The sequence below is a fragment of the Homo sapiens genome, chromosome 7, assembly GCF_000001405.40.
Source record: "Homo sapiens chromosome 7, GRCh38.p14 Primary Assembly".
Lineage (NCBI taxonomy): Eukaryota > Metazoa > Chordata > Mammalia > Primates > Hominidae > Homo > Homo sapiens.
In genome coordinates, this window is record NC_000007.14 from 78,486,250 (window position 1) to 78,509,733 (window position 23,484).

At 36.7% G+C, this 23,484-nt stretch overlaps 1 protein-coding gene and 1 pseudogene across 15 annotated transcripts in view, besides 2 other annotated features; one reads left to right on the top strand and one right to left on the bottom strand.

Annotated features, from left to right (window-relative positions):
* Nucleotides 1–23,484, bottom strand: part of MAGI2 (membrane associated guanylate kinase, WW and PDZ domain containing 2) — a 1,436,613-nt gene that overhangs the window by 469,195 nt on the left and 943,934 nt on the right. For 14 of the 15 annotated variants that reach the window (XM_047421093.1, XM_017012845.3, NM_001301128.2 and 11 more), the window contains 2 exons: nucleotides 15,328–15,538; nucleotides 3,512–3,591 (listed from right to left, as the gene is read on the bottom strand). In XM_047421093.1, coding sequence (XP_047277049.1) covers nucleotides 3,512–3,591; nucleotides 15,328–15,538 — 291 coding nt within the window. Of the gene's footprint in view, nucleotides 1–3,511; nucleotides 3,592–3,712; nucleotides 3,781–15,327; nucleotides 15,539–23,484 lie in introns of those variants that run through there. The other variant, XM_011516728.2, reaches the window with a different exon arrangement.
* UFC1P1 (UFC1 pseudogene 1) lies at nucleotides 267–1,146 on the top strand (annotated as a pseudogene).
* Nucleotides 11,844–12,344: an enhancer, noted in NCBI's record as "H3K4me1 hESC enhancer chr7:78127410-78127910 (GRCh37/hg19 assembly coordinates)". NCBI's record gives its function as "activates a minimal SCP1, AML or CMV promoter by ChIP-STARR-seq in primed H9 embryonic stem cells {active_cell/tissue: H9 hESC(primed)}" and the evidence as "EXISTENCE:reporter gene assay evidence [ECO:0000049][PMID:30033119]".
* Nucleotides 12,345–12,845: an enhancer, noted in NCBI's record as "H3K4me1 hESC enhancer chr7:78127911-78128411 (GRCh37/hg19 assembly coordinates)". NCBI's record gives its function as "activates a minimal SCP1, AML or CMV promoter by ChIP-STARR-seq in primed H9 embryonic stem cells {active_cell/tissue: H9 hESC(primed)}" and the evidence as "EXISTENCE:reporter gene assay evidence [ECO:0000049][PMID:30033119]".

The window sequence follows — 23,484 nt, forward strand, 5'->3', positions numbered from 1 at the left end:
TAAGCTAAATCTCCTGAAAACCACCTCCGATTTTTGGGAGTCTGGCAGTCCTGAGAAGAAAAATATTTAAAAATATTGGTGTTCAAGACCTGCCAAGAGTAGAGTCCCACACAAACATGGTAGGATAGGGTTTGTCCTGTGGATCAAATTCAGCCCGCCCCAATTTTTGTGTGGCCAATGGGCTAAGAACAGTTTACACATTTTCGAGTAGTTGAGGAAAAATCAAAAGAAGAAGAATATTTTGTTATGTGAAAGTATACAAAACTCGCCCTGGCCCAAGATGGCAGATGAGGCCACCTGACATGTTGTGTCTGAGACTCTGGCACTGAAGACTAATGCAGGACCCCGAGATTGGGAGTTGTGGGTGCAGTGATTGAAGGAGGAATATCAGTCCCTTATCTGGTATGTGGAGAACAACAACAATGGCGACAACGATGGTTCCAACTGGAGTCCAGCAAGGTAGGGACTCGGTGGTTTGGAAAATGTTGGTATATCCATGGCCTCCTGCAATGTGAGTTTGACGTCAAGTTTGAAATTCCTATCATGTATCTTACTACTGCCCTAGAAATTGCTGTCCCTGAGCTCGACAGAAAGACAGCAAAGATGTACAGAGGTGGCACAATTGCCTGACAGATCATTTCAAATCTTTGTGGGCCAGGAACGTACCCAAATTTGAACTAGCTCATTTCATGGCTCTGGGGCCGGGTCCATGGCTGGCAGTGGAAATCCCTGATCTGATTCAGAAGAGGGTATTCCAGCACAAAGAGAAATGTAACCAACGAAGGACCAATACACTGAGGCAGGGCAGAGGGACTTTTGATAGGCTACGGTCCTGTTCTCCTGTGTATCACACTTAACTCATCTAACTGCTTCCCGGGACACCTTCCACCTCTAGTTGACAGGAAGTAGCTGCAGCAGGATGGGGAAAAAAAAAAAAAAAAGCCAAAATACCAAATAGCATTGCTACGGAGTTTCTAAGGCTGCACAGGGAAGGGAAAGACTGGGCTTTGGAAAATCAAGAGGCAATTTTTATCCTCCCCTCAAGTGGAACAACATGTGGTCCTGGAGGCATGGGGGTAACTGGAATAGAGTACGTAGTCTTTCTGGTTTCAGGAGACAACCCATCAATAAAACCTGCTTCCTCTGCTTAAAAGAAAAAGAAAAAGAAAGTATACAACACTCAAATTCTGATGTCCATACATAAAACCTTATCAGAACACATGCATGACCTTTGTATATTGACATATGGTGCTTTTGCACAGTGAGCGCAAAGAAACTGGATGACCTGCAAAACGTTTTCTAAAATCTTTATCACCTGGCCCTTTACAGAAAATGTTTGCCAACCTGCACTAGGATGTTAGCTGAAAACTCTGGTGGCCAAACACTCAAAGAACAGGGCAAACTCAACCCAACCTCACGTTGGCTCAGTTCTGGTTTGGATTAGGGTAATTAGCTTTCACTCTATCTGGCTAGCAGAGGAAGGGCAAATCTTTGCTGGAAAAAGATATCATCATCGGAGCCTCTACATTTTTAAATACACATTTTATATGTATTCCTGCATTCAGAAAATTACTGTACTAACTTTTGTCTGAGCCGAAGTGTGGCACATATGAAGAATCATGACTTAACTGGCAAGTTCAATAGCAATCCATTAACATCCAGTGTTGTAAATAAGTAATACTAATCTATGTCATTTAAAGAAAAGTAAAACACAGGTAACAATATTACCTAAAAGCACTTTTCTTGGCAAGAAAACTTAAAATAGGTGTCCAGAATAATAACATTCTAACAAACTAGATGTTAGTTTCCACTGTAAAAACGGTCCGATAATATAAAGAATAGAGTCTAGGAATTATTTATTTTGTAGTGAATGAAAACAAATAGCAGTTGACCAAGTTACAAATCATCCTGATCTATAAACTGAATTCTAGAACTTGTTTCTCAATGACATTTGGTTCAGAGGACACCAGCATCATATTTTAGGCACCTACCATCCTGTTAAGTCTGATAAGCAGAGATGTGGGAAAAACAAATAACATTGAAATATTATAATTATGCAATATGTTATGCTTGCGTCTCTCTCAGGATTTTAAAATTGACTTTAATAGCTTTTTATAATAAAAAGAACAACTCAAAGGTGCAAGACAGCTGAGAAGTTCCATATGTCACAGAACTGCAAAATTGTTAAATTCACTTTAATTAGGATATATTAAGGTTTTACAACTGTGGCATAAGTAAATCATAACTCCCAGTTAGAACAGGTCATGTTAATTTTCAGACTATCACATTTTGTAACACGTTTCATTGGTGTCAATGAAATATAACCAAATCATGCTTTAAAGTTCTGATCATACAATAATTTTATGGGATTCAACTGCATACAGTTGTACTATTATACAGAAAGGTACAGATATGGCTATGAATACAAAATTAAATATAGACTAAAACTGGATATTTGTACATTTATATATGTTCATATAAATTACAATCTCTAATTTTTAATTTAACTCAGTCCCTAGCCTGTGAACAGTTACCTTATAACATAGGAATGTGGACAGTATCTGAGAAAGTCAGAATTATGCTTGAAAAGAAAGGCCTTTTAGAATGAGACACTTTTTTAAAAGTTAACTTTTTAAAAACTTTGTTTAACGTTCAAATATTCTCTGCTGTTTTCTTCACCTTTAAGAGCTCCTCAGTGACAGAAACCTCTGAACAGAGCTCTAATAATTTAATCACATAAAGTATGTGATTGTGGTCAAATAATAAATCATCAGAGAGTATGCTATTGATCATCTTAGCTAAACTGTAAGTGCTCCTTTAAAATTAAACTCAATATTTTAAAAAATTAAGAGTATCATCAGTAACAGACTTCACCCACATAATTTATGAATTTAAAAACAAGGTTTACATTCATCTAGTCCTCAAAATTATTTTTAAAAGATTCTTCACATGCACGAAAACGGTCTATTTTAAAGCAGGTCAATATTAGAATATTGAGAACTGGAAAATACTAAGGATAATCTAAGACATTCAGGCAACTGGTTATTTTATTTAAATGCTTGATTCAAGGAAAGCATGTCTTTATATTTCTGAGTCCTTAATAACTGCTAGAATGCTAAGCCTTTCAAAACAAAATCAAATATTATAGTGCCACAAACTGTTTCTCTTATGCATCATATCTGACTCCAATTAAAAGATCAGAGTCCTCAGAGCGACGTATTGCAAACAAAAAGTCCTTAGTAGGTGGTGGAAAGTCAGGCCAGGAGTCAAACAGAACCAACAGAGATGACAGAGATGTGATATTCAGCACAGTCTCCTCAGAGAGAAAAAGCAAAACCACATGGCCCTGCTGAAATGCCGAGTTAATTCTCTCTCTTATCTGAGCATTAAACATTACATCGTTAAAATTGTTTCAGCTAGATTATTGCCTCTTCAGGTGAGACTCTCATTTAAGAAACACAAACATTCTCAAAGCACATTGCTGAAACACCATAAAAACTTAATAACCTACCATTTTCTTTGCACTCTTCTGGAGGTTTAGCCTTTTTCGCAAGTCGTGGATCCAGCCATGATGTTGTCTTTGTGTTATGGCTGAAAAGAAAAGAGATCACTCTGAACAGACACATACTAAAAGGAATCAAGTTTATTCCTTAAGAAAAAAAAAGCAGGGTTAGTCCAACAAAATTGCAATCGATACACTTAATTTGCTTACTGGTTCTAAGTAGCCCTGAAGGAGGTGTAAGAGTAATTGTGCAAGGCAGCTGTAAATTTGGCAACCTCAGCTCCCTGTCCTCAAAGCAGCTATTTTTATTAAAATCAACTAGAATGTTGCCAAGTTAACCTCATTGAAAATGCAGAACTCATCCAGAGCAAAAGGAATTTATTACAAATACAGGATTCTCCAGTTGGAAGAGCACAGTCCACAGGCTCTGATAATGTTTCCTGAGTTTTGCAAAAGAATTATTTTCATCTTAAACCTACCCTTTTCATAAACAGTTGTTTTGTTACTCTTTAGCTACAGAGCTGGCAGAGGCAGTACAAAAGTGATGCAGATTATAGCATGTTCTTGGGATTCCTGCATTTTCTCAATAAGTGATTAATAGCAATTTTATTAACTCACATTAAACTATCTTTCATCCAAATACTTTCAACCCAGCTCAGAAGGTAGGGGATAAGACTGCCTGCATTCTAATGTTTCTGAAATGGCATTTCCAGAAAGTAATGATAAAATAATATTTTTGAAAAAAATGTTTTCTTGTAAGAGTTTTGCCAGAAATTTAAAAAGTAAAGGAGAGATATTCTTAAAGTAGTGTTTTTTAAAGTGGTTGTGAAATAACCTGCATTAGAATTACCTGGTGGACAACACATATTAACAATGCATATTCTGAGTCCTCAAAGAACTATCAAATAAGAATCTTTGAGGTGGGGCTACACAATCTCCATCACTGGCAAGCACTCCCAGTACTTCTTATGCACATTACAATTCAAGAACCACTCATGGCTCACATAACTGCTCATTGGAGCTAAAATGTTTACTGTGTACAGCTGTCTCAAGGGATCTCATCTACCAATGGACAAATTATCAAGAATGTGACATTTATGAGGGGTTTGGGAAAAGAATGAGCAAAGGCACAGGTGTGGGAAAGTGTGAGGTGTTTCTAGGGAACAGTCAGAAGGCCAATGAATGGAACATGAAAGGAAGAATAGAAGAGAGGATGGAAATAGAAATCAGAGCCAGGTAATAGGCATACTTTACTACAGTTGTAAGGAGGTCAAAATGATAATGATGATATAAATTTCACATGTATTCTCTTTCTTTAATGAAATTTAACTATATGTTGCCAATCATAACCATAAATGTTAGCTAGATAATCTGATAAACCAATCTGTACTTACAATGAAGTTTAGACAATTCACCCAGGCAGTATATTTAATCACAAGTGTGTAAAAACCAAGTTCCTTCTTAATGGAGGAACTTTCAAGCCAGGAAAGAGGGAGGATGGAGTCAAGATGAGTAGCAGAAAGCTATTCCGAGGTGTTAAATCACTCTTCAAATAGCATTTTCTGAATGATAATCCATCCCATCTGTCTAGGTATAGAGCTATCTTTAATTTGAGAACTGTGACATAACGACCCTTGGGTCATGAAGTTTCTGCTCCTGAAGAAGACGCCATTTTATTTCTGACTTTCACATGGAATAAAGAGAAGGTATTCTCCATCACATTCTTAACATTTAAGGGCTCTTCGATGATAAATGCCTCTCAACAGGGCTCTAATAAATTGATCGGATAAAGGCTGTGAATTTGATCAAATAATAAATCAACAGGAGAGCATGCCAGCTTTTATTTTTCCTCAATTTGACCCTTGTAAAGTCTGGTGGTGCTTCATTATCAAGTTTTAGAAGGATATAAAATATTGCAGACACTTTCATCTGGTTCTGGCCCTCGTTTGCATGTCAATATAAGCTAGCTTTTCTTCTGAACTAAAGACTTGAAGCTTGAGGATGCAGGTTCTGACTATTCCTAATGTGAGGATAGGGGCACCGGGTTCAGTGTTTGCTGCTCTCATTTTAAAAAAGAAATCACTTAAAAATGCCCTTTATAGACATGCCTCCGTTCAAATTGTGTGTGTGTGTGTGTGTGTGTGTGTGTGTGTGTGTGTGTGTGTGTGTTGATGTCTATGTTTCTATGAGGTGGGGAGAAATCTTGGGAAGTAAGCAAGGAAAATACATTTCTCTTCCTTTTGTCCTCACCTGCTTCTTCCAAATCCTTTCCTCTTTTCGGAGAAAAGTCATTTCTAGGCTCCTTAGATATATTCACAAAAGCAAACACATCCATGGGTAAGTATTAAGGGAACATTACTAAGCCACTGCAGAGAGTCAAATTACCATTCCTATTGCACACCACCATGGGTCTCAAATACTGGCTAATTTAGTAGAGAACTGTGAATTTTCCAGCTTTCCTGAGTTTATATAAAGCATTTCATTACAGGCTGATTTTTTTTAGGTTGAACCAGTATTAACGGTGTGTCACTTTAATACATTTTGACAGATTGAGTCTCTTATAGTTAACACCATTTTTAGCTGATCTTCAGAAATGATTCTGAAAGCAATGTGGGTAGCAGTTACCTCCAGTAATTGTCTTAAACATCACATGAAGATCCAGCACAGTATTTTTCAATAGTGGTTCTCACCAGCCTTGTAATTTGCATGCTCCTCCAAGATTCCTTGCAAAGAGGATTATTTTTAATGCATTGGGAGACAACAGACCAACCAGCTCTTCTACTTCCCTTAAATTACATATTTTAAAGCTTAATAATTCCATTTGAAAACCGAATTAAATGTCAGGCAGGAAACTGTGTTCAGAATGGGATAATTGAGGGATTCTTCCACATTCTGCGTACTATCTTTCAAGTTTAAGGAGGGTATTTCCTTTCAGTTCCTAGCTAGGGCAGATTCAGGTGCATGACATCAGTTTTCTGTATCTATCCAAACTGTGTGTCACATAAATACCAGGAAAAGAAAATGCCAATGCTATATAATTTTCTATTTCAATTCAAGTTTCTTTAACAGAGACACATACACATACATAGGCTACATTTGCACATAAACTTTTCTTATTCCAGCTGGACAATGCAACAGATATTTTTTAGGAACTTTGAATCATACTAATATACTACTTCATGTATTTTTAGGATAAAGCTAATGTGATGATCATGAAAAGTGAGAGGTCAAGTGAAAAAGCCAGTGGATATTTAAGTTCAGTCACTGTCATATTTAAAAACCTGGATGAAAACCAGAAACAATGGTTTATCATATGGGCATATCCCAAACTCTTCTCTGATGTTAAACTAAACACTGGGTCTGTCTAGAGGACTAAAGTAAGCCAGAAGTGAAATTTCAGTCAAGTCCGCATTTCTAGTTTAAATTCATATCAGAATGGCCTTGAAAATATGCAATAGGTGGATCAGCAATGAGCAGACATTTCTGTACAATTTGTAAGCTTAACTTTTGCCAAACTGACAGAAGCAGCAGGTTAATATCCTATCTTCTGAGAAAACATTCTTCTCACATAGAACATGCTTCATTTCAACAAGAAAAGCTATTTACAGTGCAGCACACCATTGCAGAGTTATTCTCACTATCCCGTGTCATTTCTCGATTGTCTACTGTGTCAGGGAAAGCAGCAGGACTTTCAGATATGTCCCCTCATTTAATGCTAATGAGCCTTTGTGGCTAAGCATTATGAATTCCATTTTATAGATGGAGAAACCCAGGTTGGGGGAAGGTGGGTAACTTGCCCAAGGCTAAACAGCTAGTGCGTGAAACTGAAAGAGCCAGCTAGCATTAAACCCAGATATATCTGGTTTCCAGGTACAAGGTTTTTTTTTAGTGGTCTGAAACCAGAGGCATCCGGAACCTCACACTTGGCTTTTTATACTGAGGTGCTTCATTTCACTCCCTGGAATAGTAATCAAGAGTCTGTTTCCCAGCTTCTGCCAGTAGTTTAGAAACAGACTTTTACCTACTGTTTATGGATAGTTAATCACTACTTAAATTCCTTTTTAAGTGTAAATGCTTTGCACTTAATAAGTATGATATTAAAGTTCCATGTGCATAGAGACAAAAGAGAGCACTGTGATTGAGGAGGCATTGATAATACCACTGGAAAGTTTTCTCCTTACAAACCTAAATTCTGTATTTGAATCACTTTCTTTTTCTTTCCTATTCTTTTTTTTTTCTTTTCTAGACAGGATCTGGCTCTATTGCCCAGGCAGGAGTGCAATGGCATGATCTTGGCTCACTGCCACCTCCACCCCCTGGGATCAAGTGATTCTCCCGCCTCAGCCTCCCAAGTAGCTGGGACTAGACTACAGGTGCATGCCACATACCTGACTAATTTTTTGTATTTTTCTGTAGAGATGGGGTCAAATTCCTGAGCTCAAGCAATCTGCCTGCCTTGGCCTCCAAATTACTGGGATTACAGGCATGAACCACCGTGCCTGGCCCTGAATCACTTTCAAATCAAATTTTCTTCACTCAAATCTGAATATTTTTCTAAAATGAAGTCTTTTTAGAAACCTGATTCATATAATCTACATATGAATATTTGGTCTTAGAAGCTATATTAAAGAATTATGTTATTAAGAAATGCTATCAATGGATGCAGTATGTGTTAGGAGCAAAATTGAAAATTTTCTTATAGATCATGCCATATTCTATTCTTCTGTTCCAGTTTTTCATTCACTCTAGTGTTTGCCCAGTCAGGGTACAAACCTTTTTTCCATTTCTTAGGTATATACATAACTAGATCTTCAAGGGTAACCTAATTCAAACCTAATATTAAAACATGTTCTCCTTTCCTTTCTAATTTCTTTCTGTTTTCTTTTCTTCTTTTCTTTCGTTCTTTAATATTGCCAGAGCAAAATGTTTTCACTGCTGTACAACTATTGGAAAAATTCAATTTCATCAACTGAAATTTTCTTAGTGAAATGAAAAGCTTTTATTATTAAACACATTCCTTTCCTTTGCTCCGTTTTCTCTAAAACTAGAAACAGACTTAAAACAATGATTAATAAGTCCTCCAAATAGCCAATTCTGAATCTCAATCTTAAACTGATAGTTAAATGGTATTTCCCAGCCTCCCCGCCCCCGGGAAATACTATGCCATAAGAATAACAAGAGATTAAAGCCAATGACATTTGATTGCATAAAACAATCTTCTGAAGAAGATAAACAAGGTTCAGGTAAATATTCTGGAGTCAACAGCAACTCAAAATGTCTGTGGATGACAAGGTTTCAATAGTAGTAGTGATATAAGTTCAGAGACAGTAGTAACAGATTGATGAATTGACTTTACGTTTACAAAACACTTTTATTATTATTATAAGTTCTGGGGTACATGTGCAGAACGTGCAGGTTTGTTGCATAGGTATACACATGCCATGGTGGTTTGCTGCACCCACCAACCTGTCATCCACATTAGGTATTTTTCCCAATGCTATCCCTCCCCTAGGCCCCTATCCCCCAACAGGCCCTGGTGTGTGATGCTCCCCTCCCTGTGTCCATGTGTTCTCATTGTTCAACTCCTGCTTATGAGTGAGAACATGCGGTGTTTGGTTTTCTGTTCATCTGTTAGTTTGCTGAAAAACATTAATTTTTAAAGGTATATAAATTGAGTAGATTTTACACCATAGTCAATAAAATCATCAGGATGATTGTAACATTTTCCAAAAGACTTTCTCTTCCTTCTATATCATCATTTCAAAATAATTACTAAAGGCAATGATCGGATATATCTAATTGGTGATAAACAATAGAAACTTGTTCCTTCAAGACTCCATTCACCCAAAGTTTCACTATGTTTTTCTATCTATACATAGGTAATACACAAATAAAGCTACTGTCAATGAGTTCTTTAGTGGTTGTTTCCTAAATAATTTTCCTACAATTTCTCTTAAGCATATGAATATTTGCATTTGCCATTTTATCTTTCATGTGTTTAGAAAATATTTTTAAAGAAGTTTCATTACAAATATTGTTTTGGATATTGTGGATGTGTATTGCACACTGTTTTGTCTAAAACATTTATTTTCTGTCTGGAAATTACACCAGAATCTTGTGCAGGCACAAGAAAAAAAATATATGAAAAAATATTCAATGTATCTCCTGTCTTTGTAATATGATTGACAGTAAGCCTAGACCAGATTTTGTGACTAGTACGATATGTCAAGTATAGAATGAGAAAGTATATTTCTGGTGTTGCTGCATACCAAAAATTTGATTTTATATTTCTCTCCAATAAATTTCCAAAGTATTTTATCTTTTCTTTAATAAATGTTGTTTAACGTTTTTTGGAAATGGTAATTGGTAATTTAATTAAAACTTAAGGAGGTACAGAAATAGGAACACAAAAAGAAACATAAACTAATTGTGTGTTTGTTTAGAATTTAAAAGCAAATTCAGCCCTGACAAATATTTGTAAACCATACACAGCTATGACATTTTTCACAGATGTGATTTTCGGTTTCAAAAGCCTGCATTTAAAAATCTGTCATTTAAGATGACATAGTGTTCACTGCCGTTTGGGAAGATGGCAGTAAACAAATAGGTTCTTGTTGTCTTTTTGTTTTTTGCCAAAGCAATAGCAGTCTCTTTTGTGTCACTAACTAAACTGACTCCCAAACAAAGAAGTAATTTAATGGGATTCCCAAAGCACGTCAATCCAGATTAACCCTGTGGCAGCTCTTCTTTTATGGAACATTTAGCCTCTGGAGTAGTGAATTGCTGGCCAAGAAACTTATAAAACAAATACTATTTGTAATATAAAAGTTTACTTTTTTTCTCAGCCAATGTTTGTTTCTATTGGAGGTAGTATGAGATAATGGGAATGACTCTGTAGAGTGAAAGAGCTCTGTGACCTTGGGAATGTTAATTTGTCCAAGGATGCCTCAAAGTCTCGTCTATGAAATGTGGATAAACCAGACACTTTATAGGGTGGTGATGATGTGAAGTAGGCATCACAGCAAATTGGTTAAGAACAAGGACCATGGAGACAGTCTACATCGCGTGAAAGTCTGAATCTTGTCAGTTTTTTTGACTACTGTATTCTCAGGGTTTAGAATGATTCCCAGGACATAATACATGACCAATAAACCTCTGTTGAATAAACAGAATCAAAGAGCCCTGGCTATGTCTGACTTTTTGGCAAGTATTTACCTCTAAAAGTCTCAGTTTCATAAAGTAAGGATTAAGTGAATGGAGTAAAAACGCTTAACAGATGAACTATTGTTGTTAAGGTAACGCGAATACACCCTTAAAAAGGTGGGTCCTTGATATGTAATAACTCATTTGAATTCACATATTCTCATTTGAATTTACAATTAATATACTGCCTATTTCAAAGATAATGTTAATGAAGATGATGAGTCAAAGAGATTACTGGTTTTACACAGTATTATACATTTAAAAGTCTCCTGAAAATTATGAAACATAAGACATTATTACTATTTTAAAGCATGTTTGGAAGAGTGTGTTCACTTGAAATTTAAAATTATGCTGCATAAAAATATTTTCTCAGCAATTCTCCTTTTCCAATTAAATGTCATTCTATAGGATAGAAGAAATCTGCTTTTATCAATCATCAAAAGAAGCAGTTTGAGTAGTGTGGGAAACATAGTTGGCCTGCTAGTTTACCAGGGTTGCTGAGGGCAGAAAAAACCTTTCCCTCTTAAATGCAGAACCTCTAAAACTTCACCTCTTAAATTCAGAACTTCTAAAGGACTCAGCCATATAACTATTTTGCAATATCACATAAACCAATAAATATTTCAAAACATTATTGCATAAAAAAAGACAAGTAAATGGAATTGCTTGTTACCTTAACTCAAAACCTATACTGTTTAATACGTCTTTTAAAACTACATATCTAATGTTTCACTGTAGAGTTCCTTTATGCTATTCAGAAATAACTATTCTATCTATCTATCTATCTATCTATCTATCTATCTATCTATCTTTCTATCTTATACACAGAACCAAAGAATCATTCTCCTTTGTTTCACTTATTTTCTGTTTTGTCATGATCTTCATTTCAAAGGATACAGACTTCAGCAAAGTCTAATTAAAGGGTGGGACCTGCCAGAGGAGAGTTTCATTACTGTAAGCAGCTCTCACAATATCTGTACAAGAGAAAAGTTTTTACTGATGTCAGCACTTCTTCCCTCACAAATCTCTCTCATTTTTCTTCTCCTTTCTTTTCCCTCTGGTTTACCTTCCTCTTACGGTATTCTACCTTTCCTTTAAAAAAACTTTTTATTTATTTATTTACTTAATTGATAAACAAAAATCATATGTACTAGACTTTTGAAAATGGCTGAGAGTAGATTTTAAGTGTTCTCAACACAAAAAACGACTAGTATGTGAGGTAATGCATATGTTAAGTAGCTTAACTGAGCCATCCCACAATGTGAACATATTTCTACTTTCCCTTTCTATCATGCTTTCTGGTACATAACTACTTCAGGACTACCTCTGAGACACATGGTGGCTTTGTCCTTAAGACATGTCTTATTGCTCAACCATGCTCCCTCCCCAATCACTGTCTCGTATTCTACAAGATCTGCTTCTACGGGCCTTTCATAGTATACAGTTTGTTAGTTACATAAGAATTCTTTGTCATAGAAGCAAAGGTTCTCACAGATCAATGACAATGGGTGGGAATGTTGATTTAAATGTAATTAGGAAAGGAAGGAATATTCCAGGGCAAAGAGTGAAAACAGACAGGAGAAAATCAGTGAATACTAAAGAAAAAGTAAAGCACAGTAAACCATAGGCAGAGAGAGAGGAAACTGCAACGTTGTTGGTGGTGATGGTATGGACATGAAGGACCAGACAAAAAGACGCTGATCCACTGCCCGCTCTGTGATACCTGCGTTCACCACACCGAATCTTGAGGTTCAAAGGTAACCTTTATGAAAGACAGATGAATCACAAACTGGGGGTAAGGTGGAGGGTGTTGGGGAGCAGGCGGGCAGGGATGCCTCCAGTCTATGGAGGAACCTTAGCAGGCGTCGTAGACTACCTCGATCCTGCCTCCTCTGTTAATCACCTTCCAGACACAGTCACTTCCACCATGACTCCAGGCTCCTTCTTTCACCTTAGTCTCCCTCAGCATCAGCTCTTTCGCCACAGATGAAATTGTTTCCTCCATTTTGTTTTAATTTTCCACCTCCATCCATTTCTGCTCCTAATACTGTCCACCAGTCCTTCCCTCCAACATTAGGAAGATTAAAAAACTACAAACTCAAACAACAACAACAACAACAACAACAACAACAAAATGCCACTCCTTTGCTTGCCTTTCAAAAGCACTAATGATCCAGTGAAACGAAAACTAAGATTTACCAACTAATACATACTTCTCTAGTAGGGTCAGGGGCTTCCTCACCATTCCTAATACACCTAAGGACTTCGTCTTTGTAATGACAGCTCCCATACCTGGAATGCTCTATCTAGCCATTGTTAACTTCTCAAGTCTATGTTATCTCACCTTCTCTGCGGTGCCCCTTTTATATCTTAAATCTATTGTAAGCTTTGGCTTCCCTGAATAGTATCACAAAATTCAGAAATTGTTGACCAAGTGTTTATAACTATTTGTCTCTCTTCCCCATCTTGCCAACAAGTTTGAAAGCAAGGACAAAATCTTACACATGTTTGAATGCCAACACTGGCTGACTGACGAGTCATAGAATCATTTTGCTAGATTCTCTCAAGCCCTGAGCCAGCCTCACTACTTACTATATACCTGGAACATAAGTTCTGTCTTTTGAAGTTATTTTTCTTCACAACCTCAAAACCTGATGTAGTTAAAAGAGGAAAGTTTACTTTATAATCACACACAAAAAAGGTTTTTATTATTGCATTATTGGAAACATTGTAAGAAAATAGTCTTTAATCAACTTGTCATGCTGCTTTCCTTTTATTATTTTCATATAGCCTTACTCCCCTTGTCTTATATAATAAAACTATGTATGTCATCAGCTTCCTTATTCCGAACATCAATTGTTCTGAACATCTATTTGTGATCTCATATCTAAGATTTGTATTTTGACTTCTGGTCCGCAATGATGTCATGCTGTCTTTACCAATATCAAAATTATGTTTCTAGATATGATTATTTTTAATAGGTCACTTTTTTAAACATTCTTTCTATTTTCCAATTAATTGATAAAAGATGCCTTGGTCATTGATTACAGCAATAAGAAATAATGTAAGAGATTCTTATTCCTTTTAAAATTAGAACATTTGCTGAAAGGTGAATGCTATTGATTCATTTTCTGCAAAACATTGTGTTTCTCATCTATGTTGGAGTCAAGCAGAGCACTGAGTAATTACCTGATTATGTAGTCCCTTGGTCGCATGATTCAGAGTTTCCAACTTCACGTGAGAATTAAATATTGGTATGTGGTAACATTTCAATTTCACAACTGAATTCTGCCTATAGAGATCTAAGTTATAAATCACTCCAGGTTGGAAAAGAAAATCCAGTGTTAATGTATTTCTTAAATAATCAGAGTTTTCATATTTTTATCCACTGTCAACACTAAAAACTTCAATTTCTATTATTTTCTCTCTTTGAGGCTTATACAACTTTGAGAGGATAAGGGTTGTTCATTCACATTAGTTTCAGTTTTTACTCTTACTAATGAACATTTTGGTTGTCTTGTGCAAATCAACAATTTAATTTTGTGCGAAGATTTTCTATTTTGGAATTTTTAAAAAGTTGTTTTAATCCTAGAAGCTAAAGAAAAGAAAAGCCTGACATTATTAATAACATGTATACAAAAATTATATTTTTTAAAAATGTCCTAAAAGAAAGATTAGGTTGAGTATTACCAAGAAGTTCAGGATTTGCACTACAGTTTCCTTAGCAAGTCATAAAAATTGTAAGCAACTAATATAATGGAATATAGTAAAAGGGAGCATAATGAACTATACAAAGCCAAATTATTTTACTGACATCTGACACTGGGGTCAAATGCTAAAAGCATTTTTTTTGGCTGGGCGCAGTGGCTCACCCCTGTAATCCCAGCACTTTGTGAGGCCAGTGTGGGCAATCACCTGAGCCCAGGAGTTTGAGACCAGCCTTGGCAACAAGGCAAAGCCCCACCTCTACTAAAAATACAAAAATTAGCCAGGCATGGTGGTATGCACCTGTGGCCCCAGCTACTCAGGAGACTGAGGCGGGAGGACTGCTTAAGCCTTGGAGGTTGAGGCTGCTGTGAGCCGTGATTGTGCCACTGCATTCTAGCCTGGGCGACAGAGTGAGACCTTGTCTCAAAGACAACCAACCAACCAAACAAACAACATCAATATTTTTTCTTTTGTGACCTATTACTTTAAATAGTTGCATTTTATTAAATTCCTGGACTTGATGGTGAATATTCCTCCAACTAGCTTAGATAATAGGAAAAAAATTTCATTTTGACAAGACGGGGGTCTTAGGAGGAGCTGAGTAAGCACTTTCTCATGATATCTAGACTATTCCTAATTCAATAATAACATCACATGGAGATTTGTCTTTTTTAGTCATAATTATAAGAGATTGTAGGGTGCTATTATTTAATCCATTATTTGATTTATAGCTGTATTCTAGGAGGCTTAACTGTATTAAGGCACTATCCCACTATTCTCTCACAAATAAAAAAGCTGTTACCAGAATTTCATGTTTTTTTCTTTTTTTTTTTTTTTCCACGTCTAACTTGCTACATCATTTATATCCCGCTATGACCTTTTTGGCACTGTTGAAAGAAATGTGTGAAACTCACTCAATGAAGTAGACTTCGCCCTTCTCTGTATAGGCCATTTCCCAGTTATCAGGCAATGGGTCTGGTTCCTCATTGTCTTCAGGTTTAGTTGGCTTTGTGTCATCCATCTGCTCCTTCAGCTCCTCAGGCTGACTGTACACTGGTGCAGGATAAGGCTGGGAGGGCATCTCCCCTGAGGCACCTGCACTTTTGTCTTCATGTTCACTGGATTCTATAAGAGAACAAGAGCACGTGGTTAGTCACTCCAACCATGGTAACTCTGGACTGAGTATGGAGAATGCTGTACCAGGGAATAAACGTCATGAATAACTTCTATGAAGGCTAACAGGAAACATTTCTGAAAAAGCATAATGATCACTAGGCCTATTTGAGCTCTCCTTTCACTCGTCATTGTCATCTATCTTTCAGCTAATTATTATTGTTTACAGAATTGGAGGTTTAAAGGATGTAATGTAAGGACCATTTCATAATACAGGTATGGTGAGCAGAATAATGGGCCCCTGAAGATATTCATATCCTAATGTCTAGAATATGTGAATATTACCTTACATGGCAAAAGATGATCTGCAGATGTGACTAAGAACCCTGAGATGGGGAGATTATCTTTGATTATCCAGATGGCCTCATCTGGATGATTATGATTAAATGTAATCACAAGAGTCCTTAAAAGTGAAAAAAGTCAGCAGAAAAGAAGGGTAAAAGGGAGAATTGACTACTAAATCATGGTCAAAGAGATGCAATGTTGCTGGCTTAGAAGACAGAAAATGACCATAGACCAAGAAATATTAGTGGCCTCTAGAATCTTTAAAAGGAAAGGAAATGGATTATTTCCTGGAGAATCCGGAAAGGAACACAGCTCTGCCAACAAGGAACACAGCTCTTCCATAGTTTCAGTTACCCATGGTCAACCATGGTGCAAAAATAGATGATTACAGTACAGTAAGATAGAGAGAGAGAAAGACCACCTTCACATAACTTTCATAATAGTATATTGTTATGATTATTCTATTATTTGTTGTTCTTAATCTCTTACTGCATCTGATTTATAAATTAAATTTTATCATAGTTTTTTTGTATAGTATATATAGGATTTGGTACCATCTGAGGTTTCAGGCATCCACTGGGGGTATTGGAGCACATCCCTCGTAGCTAAGGGGAGCTACTGTACAACAGAGCAAAAACTACCTTAACAGAAGTGGTAACAGGCTTGGAGGACAGACCCAAGATCCCCAACATATAAACAGTATGAGTTCCAGAATGAGAAGAAGGAACGCACAAGGAAGAAATAAGTCGACAAACAATAGAAGAAAATTTATCTAAGATGAAGAAACACCAGTCTGTAGATTGAAATAGTTCACTGAATCTGAGGCCAGATTAAGGAAACATGCAGACACCTGGATACATCTAGTTGAAATTTCCAAACTACAATGTTAAAAGGCAACTTTAGCAGCTTCCATACTGAACAGATATGATTACTTACAAAGAAAAGAGGAACAAAAGAGCATCAGACCTTTTATCTGTAATACTCTAAGCGCAAAGAGAGGGTAACATCTATAGTAACTTGAGAAAAAAAAAGATATAGTAATCCAAGAACTTAACTCTACCAAGATATTCATCTATCTGGGAAAAAACAGTCACTTTTGAACATGCAAAAGTTCTGAATGTATGCTCTCCAAGTATCTTATCTGAGGGCAAAATTTGAAAAATTACTCTAACCATATCATGATGATTGAATCAGAGCAGAGACCTCAAGATACGGGGAGAAAATAAAAGGTAGGAAGATGATATGGTTTGGCTGTGTCCCCATCCAAAATCTCATCTTGAATTGTAATCCCCACATGTCAAGGGCAGAACCAGGTGGAGGTAACTGGATCATGGGGAAGGCTTCCCCCATCCTGTTCTTGTGGTAGTGAGTAAGTCTCACGAGATCTGATGGTTTTATAAGTGTCTGGCATTTCCCCTGCTTGCACTCACTCCATCTCCCCCTCCCCCTCCTCCTCCCCCTCCTCCTCCTCCCCCTCCTCCTTCTCCCCCTCCTTCCCCTCCCACTCCTCTCCCTCCCCTCCTCTTCTTCCCTCCTCCTTCATTCTCTCACCCTCCCCTGTCCTCTCCTCTCCTCCCTCATTCTTCTCTCCTCCTTCCCCTCCCCACCCTCCTCATCATCTCAGAAGTACTTGGGTATTTCTTGCATCATATGAATAAGTGAAAATAAGGTGGGCCGTTATGATTGACCTCATAAGTATACATCCTGTGAACAAGGTGCCTGCTTCCCCTTTGCCTTCCACCATGATTGTAAGTTTCCTGAGGCCTCCTCAGCCATGTGGAACTGTAGGTCAATTAAACCTCTTTCCTTTATAAATTACCCAGTCTCAGGTATTTCTTCATAGCAGTGTGAGGATGAACTAATATGGAAGAAATAAATTCTGGATAATATAGTTAAATATAAATGGAAGATGATCACATTTCTGAAAATTTGTAATATGTGTTAAAGACAGATTCTGGAAAGAAGAAAAATACATGAAGACCTAGTAAGACCATGGGTTTTAGACTTTATCTTAGGAAAGCTCAGGTACTAGGAAGTGGAGAAAAGGTAGGAAAATAGAGACATTCTAAAGCTGTCATCAGTAGGCACTTCAGAGAGTGAGTATATGAGATAATTTTAAAGGCCACCTTTTCATGGGATGAGATTATTGGGCAAATAATTTGGTCAAGGTGTAGGCTTAATTGTATAATGGGGATATTTTTGAAATATCTCCTAATGTGTATGTTTACTGAGCTATTCATGGATTCATTTACCCCACATTTAGTTTTTCTGCTGTCAAGGATAAACAATGAGTCTTATTTGTTGGGGAAGAGTAGAGCAGGTACCATCAAGAGAAAGAAATACCGTTAGGGTAAATACGAAGGAGAAGTTCCTTAACTCAGAAACTAGAAGGAGAGCACTACTGAGATTCAGAGGGGCTGAAAGGTAGTGAGAGGCAATGTGAGGATAAGGTGGCCATCTTGGAAATATAAAATTCTACAATTGTTTGGGAACATAATGCCTATTAAAATAAAAAAATACAAATACACAGACTTTGAGTTATCTTACTTTGAGAACATATCCTCTAGAAATAAAGGCAGTATTATATAATGATGCCTATATAATACTATTTTTTGCAATATTGTTTGTAGTAGTAAAACCCTGGAAATGATATAAATGCCTATCAATGAGATTATAATTAAATAAATAAATAGTGTTTGTCATTACCATGGAAAACTATGTAGTTTAAAATCAATGAATATCTATTGACCTTGAAAGGTGCTTATAATTGTTAAAGAGTAATCTAAGCTGCAGAGAAATGTATAGTATTAATCCTATTTTTCTAAATAAGCATATATTAAGATCTCTAAGTGATATATAGTTATATCTCTATATAAGCATGAAAACAGACTGCAAGGATGTACAACAGATTGTCAACTTTGATTACCTCAGGATAGTAAATTTGGATGGGGGTGGAAGAAGTTTCTTTTACATATCTTTGCTTTCATTGGGTATCTATTATTTTTATAACTTCAAAAGTTAATAGATTTTTTAAATGAGTAAATTAGAATATCATCTTGCTGTCACTATTAATTGCATGGGCCAATTTTTCCCCTCTCTGCATCAATCTAGGAGAGCAATATTAAAGTATCTATTAGAAATACTTATCTAATATCTAATAGAAATAAAGTATCTATTAGAAAAACACAAGAATACTTTACAAGTTGTCACTGTATTGCCCTTAAGAGGGAAATTATGAATATAATATGGCCCTTAATGATAGAGTCTCCTAGCTGATTCCTTATAAAGATTTGATCTTTGTAAGTTTTGTAGGATAAAAGCAGTAAAAACAGGTACCACTGCTAACTTCAGAGTCTCTTTTCTGTGGCATATTTCAACATGTAATTATACATACTGTGGTACGCACATGGAACATACAAAATGTCACGTTGCACTGAAAAGTTCAAATGCAAGGTCATGCTCTGAACATGTTCAGTTATACAATATTCAGTTAATCAATATTTATTATGCACTCAACTGGTGCCAGACACTGAGGACAGAAGAGTGAACAAGAGATACATTGATCCTTTCTCTCATGGAACTCCAAATATGTCAAGATGTGTAGTCTTTATACAATAATTTTAAGTGTGATGAGTGCTGCCTAAGGGAATCGTATGTATATGGGATCTTCTGTATGTATATTCATCTAATCTCATATAAAGAGTCAGGGAAAACCTCTTTTTCAATGTGCTATAACATCTAAGGGTTCTTTCAGAAGAAGGTAAGGGAGAAATAAATAAATGAGGGCTGGATTAAGTGAGGCTCTGAAGGTAAGGGAGAAATAAATAAATGAGGGCTGGATTAAGTGAGGCTCTATCAGGCATGCTCAGGATTTGGAAGTGTGTCCTGAGAGCAAAGATACTGCTATGTTCTACTGAAGCAGATGACAAAATTAGATTTTCATTTCCCACAAAGATCTCCTTAACTATTCTGGGGATTTGAGGGTGGCAAGAGTAGATGTTTATAGAGCAGTGGAAAGTTATTTTTGTGCTCTCAAAAAGTAATGATGGTGGCACGGAGATGGAAAGAAGCAGATTAAAAAAATATTTAGAGGGTAGATTTTATAACCTGCCATGGTGGGTGGCAAGGCTTTTCACTGAGATTGGAAACAGGGAAGGAGGAGTAGGATTCTGTGGGGTAGGGGTAGGCTATACATGTGGTTTTGGGCACACTGAGTTAGAGGTTCATGGAGACGTCAAGTCAGAGAATTCTTAGATGGAAAAAAAATAAACCTGAAAGAAAACAGCATATGGCTAGATGGTACTATAATTTTAGCCATGAGTAAATGAAATTGCCAAGAGACAGGGTGAGAAGTGGAAACAAGAATCTGGAGCAGCTGTCTGATGAACTTCAACATTTAAGTCACTGAAACAATGGACTGGTAAAAGAGAAGAGGAAAGGGCAGCCATGGAAGCAATGAGAAAATTAAAAAAACTTCATGTTGCAAAAGCCAAGCAAAGGGTGTTGAAGACAAGACACTTAACTGTGGCCAAAGCTTCTGCACAGTCCAGCAAGACAAGGACATAAAATCTGTAGAACCGAATGATGTGCAGATCACTGGTGACACTGGCTGCCAGTTACGGCAGTATTTACGGTGGAGTGGTTGGTGAAGCCAGATTGGAATAGGTTTAAAAATGAATGAAAGGAAAATACAGAATTATCCTAATAGAGAAGTCATTCAAGAAGCTTGGCTTTGGACAAATGAACTTTCCTTCTACTGTATAATACCATTAAATTCTCAAGAGAAATGTAGGACATCTCTTAAAAAAGGATCTAGTCTTTGGAGAAATCTATAATCATATTTGTTGATGTATCAGAGATTACTGGACAAAGTTCTCCCAGTTTATCTGTTTATTCATTCATTTCTTTATTCTTAATTAATCAAGCATTAAAGTAGCAAACATGAATTTAATATCTATAGTGTGTAAGATACTTGACAAGACCTTAATGGGGGAGATTATAGACCTTTTTATCAGGCTGCTGTGAACTAAGCTGAGAGGGAAGCAATAAGTAGCACCTACCTCTCCCATCTTAACAAAATAAGACAAAAAAAATGAATAAGGCAAATAAAGATCCATAACATTCCCATATTTATTACTCACAAAGGCTCACCTAGGGATACGGTTTAATGTGAGAATCAAGGGCTTCTGGCAAAACCCAGAGGACCAATTTATTCATTGGCAGTGTGGAACCAGGGCAGGGCTTCCATGTAAGGGTAGAATCTGTTCCCAGAAGGGCAAAGTAGAATATTTAGGGGAAGAAAAGGGGAACTGAGCCAAGAAGGTCCAGGTTCATCTTCCAAGTTGTGTCACTCAGATAAATCCCTGCACCTCTTCTGGGCAGAGTGAGTAAAAGAGATGGTAGAATGCAAATTCAGTACTCTCCTAGACATTCAAGGCAACATGGAGGGTGGAGAAGACATGTCTCCCCCAACTCTGAGCAACTATATAGAGTACTACAATAATGATTTGTTAAGTGATACTCAATGACATAAAATACCTGAATAAAATTTTCTAGGAAGACAGTGTAGCAATTAGAAACAAGGGTACCTAAAGCAGTTGTCTGAGGAACTCCAATATTTGTCAGTGAGAGAAGAAACTGGTCTTATATTTCCTGCATTATTAGAAACATTTATTTAGAGCATACTAACCATCAGGCACTAAGCTAGGCAGTGTACAGTCAAGGAGAATGTGGTCCAAATGATATGTAATAATTTTCTAGGGCTGCCATAATTAAACACCACAAACTGAGTGGCTTCAATCATAGATATTTATTGTCTTACATTCAGGAGGTTAAAGTCCTATATCAAGGCGTTGGCAGGGCCAGCTCCCTCTGGAGGCACTATGGAAGGATCTATTTCAGGCTTCTCTCTTAGGTTCTGGTAGCTTTTTGACCCATGGCAACATAATTGCAGTCTTCACATGGTATTTTCCCTGTGTGCACATCTGGGTTCCAATTTCTTCTTTTTATAAGGACACCAGTCATACTGGATGAAGGGTCTACCCCTACTCCAGGATGACCACGTCCTAACTAATTATATCTGCAATGATCATATTTCCCAATAAAGTCACCATCTGAGATACTGGGGGTTTGGACTTCACCATATGAATCTGGGGGTGGGGGCACAATTCAACTCATAAAATGGTGTACTGGATCAGTTCACTGTGCAGTCCACTGAACCAATATTTAACATCTCAAGGACTGCAAATTATTGTTTCATGCTATATCATATTTGTTTCCCTGATTAATATGGAAAATAGAAATTAACTTTGCTGCATTTTAGATAATATATCTTTCTTCTGTATCGGCTTAAATTTTTTAAAAATGACATATATTGGATATTGTGTAAGTTGTTAAGAAATTACCCGTTAAGAACCGAGCAAACTTCGTAATAATGGGAGGGAAATAACCAGACCTTACACGCCAACCAAGCTTGCCTGTGTCAGCTACTCCTGCGAGTATTCCTAGTCCCATGCAGCCTGATGAGAAAAATGTGCATGTAAGCATGCTCTCGCACACATCATATATATATCAGATCTGTGGTTTGAGAATTTCTGGACTATTTAAATTCTGACTAGGGAGAAGGAGCCAAATAACCCATGCATGTTTTACCTTTTTTATAGTGGCGTGAAGCTATATTTGATTAGGAAGTGGCTAAGTAAAATTGTCCTTTTTGACTTTTAAGATGCATTTCTCAGTATGCTTTTATTGTTAAATTGAAAAATAGTCTTTTTTTTTTTTTTTGAGACGGGGTCTTGTTCTGTCACCAGACTGGGTGCAGTGGCGATCTTGGCTCACTGCAACCTCTGACTCCCAGGTTCAAGTGATTCTCCTGCCTCAGCTTCATATGTAAAATATAATGTTTTCCTTATTTACTGCTAAAACGAACAGACTTTATCAAACACTGACATTTTTTGTGCATTCCCCATTGCGTTTCTGTGTCTCTTAGATGTCGTTCAAACCAGAACAAGAATTTTTTTTTTTCACTGACAATAAAAACAAAGAATATTTCAGTAAAGAAGAAACACCTCTTCTTAAAGGATGCTAATGATGTAAAAATTTTCTGTGGGACTAGGACTGTTAAATAGAATTCCTAGAAATTCTATAGAAACATTGGGGCACGAAACAGACATTTATAACATATAGTCTTATAAACAATGATCTATAAAAACATATTTTATTAATACCTACACTTTAACTGTTGTGAAGAATTAAGAAATTTAATTCCTTTCATCTTGCCTGCCCTGAGGGTTTTGTTGAATTCAGTAAATATAATTTTCTCCTTTCCATAAGAAATTCAGAAGGGCTCAAAGATCTGTACATAGTGCAGGAACTGAAAGCGTTTAATTGGGAGAGAATAAATGTATGTATTTGTGCATTTAGTTCAGTCCTTATAAATTCTATGGTTCTGGTACAGTCTAAGGTTTTGATATTACAAAAATATGCATGGCAGCCATTCCGTTTGCTTTCTTGTTTATTGCCCTGCCAGTATCTAACATGTTGCTTCTCAGGTACAAGACCAATGATAAGTTAGAATGTCATGGTTTTCAACGTTCCCACCCAGTTTCATTAAA